Below are 11,078 nucleotides of genomic sequence, written 5' to 3'. Positions count from 1 at the left end.
TTATCTCTCTCACTTGACAAAGGATTTGAAACTTTTTATAATATTACATCCTTTTAGCATATAAATAAGACAATGAAAAACAAAAGTCAAAAGCAGAATGTTGAACAATCTGAAGATCAAGACTAGAGCCAAGTTGGAATGTGCTATGCAAGCTCCAGGTCCTCCACAGTTATTCAAAACAAGCCATTCATTTTGGCTCTGAGCTTCCCAGAGGAAGCACAGGAAGCAAATTCCCACTGTCAGGGCCAGCTTCATGTGTCAGCAGCCAGTGAAGTTGCACAAGGCCCTGTACTCCAAAGGGCCCCATACTTGGGAGTAGTGCCCTGAGGTTGCCATTTTGAAATTCTTCAGTATTTTATCCTTGAATTTGTGTTTTGTAAGTGAAATCTGACATCCCAATGGAGCATATAATGGGGATTTGGAGCCTCTGCTCACAGTCTGTTCCTGCTGCCTGCTGCCTGTCACCTTCCTGTCCCCTGGTGGGCTACGCTGGCCCCGCCTCCCCTTCCCTTGCCTGCTCTACAACAGCCACCACCCTCCACCCAGGGAGGTATCAGCAGAGGGAGGCCACCACCCTGCCATCACTCTCTGCCCTGCCACAGGGACCTGGGCATAGATGTGGGTAGGATAAGAGGTGTGTGCCCCATTGTGTGTTGGTGCAGGACAAGGTGGTGGTCGTCCCCACCTCTGGTTGGAAGTGCCCCACGTGTCTAAAAGGAATCCTCCCTACAGCTCTCAGGAAAGGAGAGACTGAGGGATATTCTTTGCTGCTGTGGCCAGGCAGAGGCACTGGCACCGGGGTGAAGAGTGTGGCTGAGAGGCTCCATCCCAGCCATGCAGAGTGGCAGGTCACCTTTGGCTGCAAACTTGGCAGAGGTCTCGTGTCCACCCCGGATCCTGGTACCAATCATGCCCCAGCACAGAGCTTGCAGTCCCTGGGGGTCACCTGTCCACCGTGGGTGGGGCAGCAAGTGCATGGAAAGGGGACATTGACTTCCCAGGGCCCCACATTTTCATTTTGCACTGAGCCCACAAATTATTTGGCCAGCCTTGTCTATCGTGCCCTTGGGAAAGAAGAAATCCATTTCTGAGAGTTAAGGAAGTTTTTCCGTCCCACGTGTCTAAAAGGAATCCTCCCTATAGCTCTCAAGAAAGGAGAGGCTGAGGGATATTCTTTGCTGCTGTGGCCAGGCAGAGGCACTGGCACCGGGGTGAGGAGTGTGGTGGCTGAGAGGCTCCATCCCAGCCATGCAGAGAGGCCAGCTGCCCAGGGACCCACCCATGCAAGGAGCTCTGCAGCCTCCGAATCCAACCCTGAAGCACCAAGTGTCTGCAGCCCGGCTGAGCTCTCGCAGCAGCCCACGAGGTGCAGAACAGGCTGTGCTGCATTCTCTGTGACTGGAAATTCACTAGGCATTCAGTGAGCCTACTCCATGTGGTTTGAAAATGCCACTAAAATGTCGTACAGGCTTGGCAGCCGGTCCGTGTGTCCTGGGGGGAGTCTCTATGCCAGGGGCTGCTCCTTTGCCTGGGAGCAAATCACAGTGTCCCACACAGGTAGGTTGACTTGGTAAAGGAGGGGACACAGGCCCACCCTGTGCAGGCAGCAGGGGTTTGTCATGGGGGTCTAGAGTCTGACCAAAATCAAGGGACTCTATGGGAAAGATGTGAAGACAGAGTTTACAGACTTGCCACATGGACCTATTTACAGCAGTCTCCTCCTCTCTGCCCTCCCATTGCCTCCTTGTCAAATGAGGCATTTCCAGGTATCTCCCTCTGCAGGGTCTTTGGGGCCAGGCTTGCCAATCCTGAGCAGAGTACAGAATGCACTGGGAGGAATTCATGTCATATTTCGTTCCTAGATGGTGAGCTCTTCTGATTCCAAAGGAGTACATTTCCTTTTCCATCCAAAACAAAAATCTCCAAACACTCCCTTGGGCCAACAAGTCTACCTGAGATGTCACCGGCATTTAGGGTTTGTCAAGGACATTTAGATCGTCGTCTTTGTTTGTCCAGGGCTGAGGGGTTTCAGTGCTAAAATGAGGCCACTCTCAGGCAAATAGGAAGGTTGGTCATCCAATTGCCATTTAGATAACTGAGAAGCCAGGTAAATCCAGATTATTTTTTTCAATAAAAAATTAATGATCACATTTATCACTCACCTTCAGGAGGACATATCTTAATATGAAATAAAACTGTGTGTGCTGAATTTCCTCAGGAAAGCCCAGGGGTCTTTCATGAGGATACAGTAAGGGAAAGGAAGGACAGAGACCTGTTTCCTAGACTTGGCCTCTTTGCCTTAAAGTTGAGTTTTATCTAGCAGCACCTGCAAAAGATAACTCCTCGGATAACTGTGCTTTTCTAGAAAGGCGAGTAAGGTGAGAGGTCAGTTGTTCTCTGTGTACACACGCCTATGTGGGAGAAAACTGTTCAACTTAAAATGCTAGAAAGGGCCTCCTAGGGATGCCTACTTTTCAAAGGTTTGAGCTATTCTTGAATATGAAAATGAGCCTGCAACATCAGCTGTGCAAGAAGTTTAACTTTTTTTAAAGCTCTTAGCTTAAGTTCTGCCAGGAGTCTCCATTGTATTGTGGTGGCGGAAGCTTGATCTTAGCCTATTCTGGAGTCCCCATCTTTTCTTCAGGGTTAATATCGAAGTTAGGAGGGGTCAGGAGAGGGAGTACTTAGTGTAATGCCAAGGTGTAAGGCAAGAAGGCGGGGGCAGTGGCATCTCATGAGACCAGGAGCAAATACTTAGTGAGCACTTCCGCTGTGCCAGACACTAAAAGCTTCATCTGTGTTCCATCTTTTGATATCTTGGATCAGTAGTGATCCGTATGATTTTTACCCACATTTTATAGATGAGGCACAGAGAAGGTAAGGGGCTTACAAAAGGATTACTTGGCTAGGAAGAGGCAGAGCTGAGATTTAAAACCAAAGGCCTGATTCCAGAGGTAGCACACCTAAGGTCATTCATTTAACAAATATTGACGGATCACCTATTATCTGACCTAGGCCCACAGTATGGAGCCTAAACAGAAAGGAATCCCTGCCTCAAGGAACTTCCATTCTGGCCTCTTCACTCCACTGTTTCTTGCAGCAGCCGTGAGGCATCCACTCCCTGTCCTGGTCCTGAGGCATTATTTCCTCCAGGCTGCTTTTTTCCTTGCTCTCATTCTAGGGGACCCTTCGGGCCCTGTGACTGTTTACTTCCACTCTTCTCCTAGGAAGGTGGACATGCATTCTGCTGTCTGCACCGTGCTGGCTCGGACCCCTTCTACTTCCACCTGCTCACAAACTCAAAGCACTTCTAAACCCCAGGCACATCCGCTCACTCATCATGCCCAGGGCCATTTCAGGCTGGCACATCAACCATGCACACGGGCCATTTCTGCTCTGGGGCCTGATCCCCAGAACTCTGAACATCTAGCTCAAATGGGGAACAGGGTGTCATAACTGCCTTTCTCAGGAAGATCTACGCATGCCTCATTTCTCTTCTTACTCTCCTCTTTCCCTGGTGGTGGGAAAACTGGTTCTAACTCACCCACTTTTTTCTAGGTCCTGGGTCATCTCACAGCCATGGATTTTAAGTTTCCAAACCCTAAAGCATTCTCTGCTCGCTACAGAAAATCCCTTCCCTCCCACTGGGTGTGTGTGGCTGATCCTAAGTAGCAGAAGGGTCAAGCAGGGAATAGAGAAAAGACAGGGGAACGAACCCACCAGTTAACACTGCACAAGATCCTTTCACTTCAAACACCTGCCTGTTATGATTTCTACATTTCGGGCCCCATAGGTAAACACTTTTCATGCACTACTAATGCTCACCATGCCCTTTTGACAAATCCCCCTTTGTGCCTCAATTTACTCACTTGTAAAGTAGGAATAATGATAGTGCCCACCTCGTACAATGGTTGGGAAGATTAAAATCAGTTACAGAGTATGAAGTGCTCAGAACAGTTTCTGGCAAAGAGGGAGTGCCATGTACATTGTTAGCTGTTATTATTATGATTATTATCATTTATTGTTGTTGTCATATTTGTCTTTCTCATTACACATGTTTCAGGGTGAAGATAACGTTTTAAAAATTTATCTCCGCATCTGATTCAGCACATACCAGGGCCCAGTACACAGTAGATATTCAGTACATGTTGATTTATTGTTTTTATTTATTTTAGAGACAGGGCCTCGCTCTGTCAGCCAGACTGGAGTGCAGTGACACAACCATAGCTCACTGCAGCCTTGAAGTCCTTGACTCAAGCGATCCTCCCACCTCAGCCTCCTGAGTAGCTAGGAAAACAGGCACACACCGCCACACCTGGCTAATTTTTAAAAATTTTCTCTAGAGATGGGATCTCACTATGTTGCCCAGGCTTTGAATTTTAACTGAAGAAACAAACTGTTGTGTTTTGTTCTGTCTTAATACAAATTCAGATTCAGATCTTTGATGTAAAGAAGTCACCTGACTCCTCCCCATTCACCACCCACCCCTACTGCTTACAAAAGATTACATTCCTTAGACTGTCAGAGCTGGAAGAGACCTGGGGGATCATCTGGTCTAACCTTAGTTCACAGAGAAGAATTACAAAGCCCAGGAAGAGGAAAATGAACGGCTCATGGTCACTTAGTGGGTAAAAGAAGAATTTATAAGCCAGCTGGTGGGAGTCTAATCATTTCCTTTGCAGGACTGCTCTCTGAGAAACAAAGCTCATCCCTTCCTTGTGCTCATGACTCATTGACAACATTTAATGAACACTCACCCTATGCCATGCTTAGGAGTGGGAAGACTGCAGGCCATGAGGCTAGAACAGGGTTCAAATCCCAGTTCCACCCCTCGACAGCTCACACCCTTGAATAAACCGAGCCTCATTATCCTCATTTATAAAATGGACAAATAATAAAGAGATGGCAGGAGTTTTGAGGGGAGTCAATGAACTAAAGCGTTCATGTTTCTAGCATATAGTAGCAATGTTTGTTCCCCTCCTCTCCACTCTGGTAGCAAGCCAAAGAAGCAGAAGATGGGCCCTTGTCCTCAAGGAGATTATGATCCTGTCTCTTTGCAAGATGAAGAAGCTTGAGCAGAGATGATGAGCTGAGTGGAAAGTCAAAGGACAGGGAGAGTTAACTGGGAATGTTTAACGGGAGAGGCAATTCTAGTTTTAAAAGAGAGAAAGAAGATCGCTTGGCAGGGAGCATTAGAAAGATTTCCTAACGTGCTCTTCAGAGAGGCTTCCCCTGACCACCTGTGCAAAGTAGCCCCCCATCACTCTCTGCCCGCTTGCCCAGCATTGTATATCACCGCATTTACAGCTCTGACACCCTTGCTTGTCTTTCTGTTTGTCATCTGTACCCCCAACTAGCATGTATGCTCCAAAGAACAGGGAATTCTTCATTTGCCATCTGCTCGGTGCTGTCACTCCTGTTCTAAACAATGTCTGGCATATCATAATTGCTTGAAAAATGTTTGTCATGTGAATATAGAGTGACAAATTGCAAACGTAGCTGAGTGATCTCGGGAAGAAAGGAATGATTTGCCTGGGAAGAGCATCTATGTTTAAAATATCAAGGAATTAGTGAATGGTGCTACAGTACTAACGGCTGGGATTTGACCATTTCCGATGGCAGAAAGGAGGCCTTTTCTGTTGAGCTGGTGGAGTAGCTTCTCTCCCTGGAAGGCCCACATTCCCGACCTTTGGCCAGCTCTTTTCACTCCCCTACCAACATGAGCCGAGATAGATAACCCCACCTCCTCAAGACTCGGGGTGCCTTTAGGTTAGCGCTTTACATGGGATCATCTGAAGTCACAAGTAATTCTCGAGTACGTCTGACTTTGTCAGCTAAGTGTTAGAGAGATGGATGCTCACAGCCCACAAATAGCATGGTTGAATCACCAAGCATCTTGTTTGTGTTAGAGAGTGAGATAAACTCTAGGAGCCTTCACCCATAAAACTGTCTGCAGTATTGAAAACATGCTTCATAAAAACTCCCTGATGACCAGGAATGTATCCTTCTAACGTGGGATTGGCTGAAAACACTTTCGAAAACAAATTACTATTGGGTTGTCCAGTTTTGCTCATATGCAGTAGGGGGCGCTGTTGATACAAATTCCATCAGTACTACATGGACTCCATTGCACTAACCACGGATGCGCCCTGTTCACAGCTTTACCCGGACATTTAGCCCTGGTTCTTAACACTGAAGAGTTAACAGGTGTGCCAGGAGAAGAACGTGGCTTAGTCAAACCGTTTGAAGGATATCATTTTCTTGGTTGGCATCCTATCAACTCTTAACTAGTTCTCTTCCTACAGAAACTTTTTCACCTTTTTCAGTTCTTCCCATATAACATTGACTTTTCTCCTAAAGAGATTATTTGTTGTTCATCCTAAGGATTAATGTTTGGTGTCCTGAGAATCACCATATTGGAGAAATGTCAAGATGTCTGAAATGAGGAAACCCAAGTCCTACCCACCAACTAGAAGAAAATTTAGACAAAGTCAAGTTGAACCCAACTCTCCCAAGAGATGAACTTACTAGGGCTGCAAAGGTACTTGTCTGGAACAGCACTCTTGGGTTTCCCCATAAGCAATATAGTCATTTAGGGAAGAAAGCTGCCCCTATAGAAGTCCCAAAGTGGGGTGCATGAGAGTTTCCAAATGCCAAATATTGTAGGGATATTCACCCACTTAGAAATTGGGCCATAGATTTGCATTTCTGGAAGCTCCGAGCTTATAGAATAAGGGATGGATACAGGGTACCCTGGACCATGAATAAAAGATGCCCTCCAATCCTTCACCCTCTCTTAAGCAACAACCTTCCAAGGCTGACTGGGCTTCACCAGATCCTGCTTTGGCCATCTTGGGATGACCAAATTACCACGTGGGTGAAGAAAGTACCGAGAATTGCGGGGGCCATGAAGATACTTTGACCTTTTCTGGAGTCTAGGACCTTCACTGTCCTCGACGGTGCTTCTATTCTAGTTCTTCTAGCAGAGGAGGGCAGTGTTCCTGTGAAGTTCCCGTGCTCCCTGTGGCTCAAAGCCTTTGAAACTGGGGATCCTGGCTGAAGGCTGACTCAGTGTCTCAGGACCCAGCAAGCCCCTCAGCCCCTCAGCTCCTTCAGCCTCCCTCCACACAATGCAGTGGATGGAGGTGCCAGAGAGAGGCTGCGAAACAAAGGTGGCTTTCACCCAGAGCCAGCTGAGAGGTGCCGACTGTGGTGGCGGGGTCTGCAGCCCTGAAGCTGGGTGCCGTCCTGTGACTCTGAGCTCAAAAATGTGTGAAATTTCTTTTTGCTGGGTATTCTACATCAAGCGGAACCTGTTCTCAGAGAAACATTCCATTTCACAGACCCTAATGGCTTTCCTCTGTGCTGATGCATTAATGAGGCTCCGGCTCGTTCTAATCAGAAGGAAGCCATGCAGATAATTGCCTGAATTTTTAATTCAGGGTTATGATAGGGGAATCAAAGTCACACTGCAGTTGCTGAGGCTGCCTCTAGTTCCAGGCCATTGACTTTTGCAATTTTCTTTGATTTCCCCCTCCCTGTCTCTTTCTCCCCACTCCCTCTTTCTCTCTCTCTCTCTCTCTCTCTCTCTCAGGCTTGGTGGAGACCGACAGTAAGTTTCAGGTTGGGGTGGAGTAGAGAAATAGGGGCAGCCCTTGGGGTCTCCCACAGTCTTTCTTCCTCCTCCTCTTTTGCAACCCTTCCCCTCCCCCATGAAAGCGTGGATCCTGCCTGCACCTGTCACCCCAGGGCTGGTTCTGGGAGAGTGCCCTGCAACTGGCCTTCCCACTCAGGGTCTCTGTGCCCATAAGCAAGGACAGGAAATTTGCCCCAGGAGAGGATCTCCCTTGGCAATTTACTTCTCATTTCATCTCAGGTTTTAGGGCAAAGGAGAGAAATGATAAAGGGAAGGGAAAAAGAGATCAGGTGGCCAGAGCAGCTCAGCATCTTCCAATTCCTTGCAAAGGCAATTTGTTCTCCATTGTTGCTGAGACCAAGGGCAGGTGGGAAGTTGGAGGAACCTAAGCCTGAGGTCCTTCCTGAATTTTTTCCCCTGACATAATCATCACTGAGTGCTAGAACTTTAAAGAACTTACAGAACCCTGACAACTACAGGTGGTAGACAGAGGTAAATGCAAACTGGCTGTATGATAGGTCACTTACCCACAAATTAAAAAAAGGACCCAGAGGCTGGTACAGAAAGAGCTCCCTGACATTGGCCAGTTTGCCCAGAATGTCCAGGACCTTGGGCTGACACAGAATTTGCTAGGGTGAGAGTCGGCAGCCTTTATGGCTCAATTCCAACCAATAGTCACTTTCCAGGAGAGTGACTATTCTTGCAAGGGAAGTTTCTTCTCCCAGTATGCTCTAGTGCTGGCTATAGCAACACTATCGGCACACATTTACACTTTAAGCCAGCATTCAGCAGAGTGATTCTTTCCCTTCCAGATTGGTCTCCGAATCACTGGGCACCACACACATGGCATCTAAGAGCAAAATGTATCTCCACATCTCTGGCTGTGTATATCGGTTCAGGATTTTTACTTTTAAGAGACAGAAGATAATTTTCACTGGGACTGACATCTCCTGGGTGCCAAGGACGTTATATACTGTCATTCCATTTAACCATTACCAGTACGTTGTGAAGAAGAGATGACTGTCTCTACTTTCGAGATCAGGAAACTTGGGTTCACCAAAAAAGAACAGAAATTTTACTGCCACCTGCACCTCACCTTCCAGGGGAAGTTTTGTTATGTGGAATCCAGAAATCCCTTTAAAGGTGCATTTTCAGGGCTTAGCAATGCTACTGATAATGCAGTCTTTCCAATTGCAGGTTACAGCTTTCAGAAATCAAAAGAGGCAGTTACCTTTATTATGCTGGTGGAATTTGACCTCCACTGGGCTTTTGTTTCCTCAATAAAACATGGCCTCATATCTGAATAGCCCCCCTCTCCCAAGAATGCCAAAGCAACCTCACAAACTCTGCAGTCATCCACACACTGACTCCTTAAGAACATCCCCAGCAGAACTATCACTTGACCCAGCAATCCCATGACTGGGTATCTACCCAGAGGAAAATAAATCGTTCTACCAAAAATACCATAATAGCAAAGACACGGAGTCACCTAGATGCCCATCCACGGTGGATTGGATGAAGCAAATGTGGTACATATACACCATAGAATACTATGCAGCAATAAAAAAGAATGAAATCACATCCTTTGCGGCAACATGGATGTAGCTGGAGGCCATTATCTCAAAGGAATTAATGCAGGAACAGAAAACCAAATACTACATGTTCTCACTTATAAGTGGGAGCTGACCACTGGGTACATACAGACACAAAGATGAGAACAGCAGACACTGGGGACTCCAAAAGGGGAGAGGGAGGGAGGAGGGCAAGGGCCGAAAAACTACCTATTGGGTACTATGCTCACTACTTGGGTGATAGGATCATTGATACCCCAAACCTCGTTGTCGTACAATATACCCAGACAACAAACCTGCACATGTACCCCTGAATCTAAAATAAAAGTTGAAATTATTAAAAAAAAAAAGCAGTCCATCTCTTCTACAACAGTGGACCTCATCATGGTGCTAGACTATTTTATGATAGCACAGAATATCTCTGGGGATTTTTGCGAATCTCTGTTGAACTTTTAAAGCAAAATCAGTTATCATTTCTTTTTTTTTTTTCATTTTTATTTTCATAAGAGACGGAGTCTTACTTTGTTATCCAGGTTGGTCTTGAACCCTGGGCTCAAGTGATTCTTTTGTCTCAGCTTCCAAAAGTGCTGGGATTACAGGCATGAGCCACTACTCCCAGCCAGGTTTCTATGTCTTTTAATTTTTTTTTTTTAAAAAGCATGTGCTTTGGGATGCCTTTAGGCAGAGTTAGGGCCTCATTTATTCAATCAATCAGCCTATATTTAATGAGCACCAACTATGCACCAGATTGTTCCAAGCACTGAGTCCTGCCCTCCGAGGGGAACATCACAGTTTAGTGGGGTAGATGAATGCAGGCTGAGGGATGTGGCAGAGGGAAACACAATCTGCTATGAACGTTGAAAGGAAATCCTGAAATCAAGCTAACAACATGTGTAAACTCCAACAAAATTGAGAGTAACAGCGAGTGCCCTTGTTCCTGAGCCCAGAACATAGATCCATTCAGGGATGAAAAACCCCATTCTAAACTTTGGTCCCCTCCCATCTCAAAAGCCAACTTTCTCTTAGCTCCCTGGAGACCCGGTCTGCTCCCCAGGTCCTGTGCATTCCAGCTTCAGCCCTGTGAACTTGGAGTTAATGATTAAACCACGTGGTAGTGCCATGGCTGGAGGCCGAGGCTTCCTTGGGGTGAGCTGGATGGCTCAGCCCTGGAAACTGCCAAGTTCCTGGCTCAGCTCCAGCCAGGGATGGGCCGGAGACAGATCCAGCCCCCACACCCACATGCAGCTCATTTTCAAAGTTGGCTGCAGTCTCAACAACCTCTAGTCACAGAATCCCCTGCTACAAACCTAAGGCACTGTGGTATAGTGGAAAATCCAATGTAAAAGGAAACGCAAGTCTTGGTGCAAATTCTGATCCTACTACTAATTCACTGGGTGACCTTGGGGTAGTCTCCTCACCTTTTCTGGGCTTCAAGTTTCTCATCCATAATGGAACAATGTCGGACCAGAACGTGCCATGTTCTCTTACAATTCTGTGCATTTGCACGTGCTGTTACATTTGCCTGGTACACCCTTCCTACCCCTTTTGTCTTCTCACTCATCCTCCAAAGTGCAGCTGAGGGGTCACCATCTTCAGAAAGCTTTCCCTGACCCTCTCCCAACAGGCTAAGCTAGATGCCCCTTCTTTTAGTCCCATAGCACTCTGTATTTCCTTTATCATAACACTTAGCCTACTGTTTTTACAGGCATATTTTGGAGATATCGTGGGTTCAGTTCCAGACCACTGCAATAAAGCAAATATGGCAACACAGTGGGTCACACAAATGTTTTGGTTTCCCAGTGCATCGAAGAGTTGTGGTCACACTATACTGTAGTCTATTAAGTGTACCATAGCATCACATCTTTTAAAAA

The 11,078-nt window shown here is 46.6% G+C and overlaps 2 annotated features.

Moving 5' to 3' along the window:
- Positions 231–1,003: an enhancer, noted in NCBI's record as "H3K27ac-H3K4me1 hESC enhancer chr17:36156607-36157382 (GRCh37/hg19 assembly coordinates)". NCBI's record gives its function as "activates a minimal SCP1, AML or CMV promoter by ChIP-STARR-seq in primed H9 embryonic stem cells {active_cell/tissue: H9 hESC(primed)}" and the evidence as "EXISTENCE:reporter gene assay evidence [ECO:0000049][PMID:30033119]".
- Positions 1,004–1,781: an enhancer, noted in NCBI's record as "H3K27ac-H3K4me1 hESC enhancer chr17:36155829-36156606 (GRCh37/hg19 assembly coordinates)". NCBI's record gives its function as "activates a minimal SCP1, AML or CMV promoter by ChIP-STARR-seq in primed H9 embryonic stem cells {active_cell/tissue: H9 hESC(primed)}" and the evidence as "EXISTENCE:reporter gene assay evidence [ECO:0000049][PMID:30033119]".

This window comes from Homo sapiens, chromosome 17 (assembly GCF_000001405.40).
Source record: "Homo sapiens chromosome 17, GRCh38.p14 Primary Assembly".
In the NCBI taxonomy this organism is placed as follows: Eukaryota; Metazoa; Chordata; class Mammalia; order Primates; family Hominidae; genus Homo; species Homo sapiens.
This window is presented reverse-complemented; position numbering and strand designations above follow the sequence as displayed.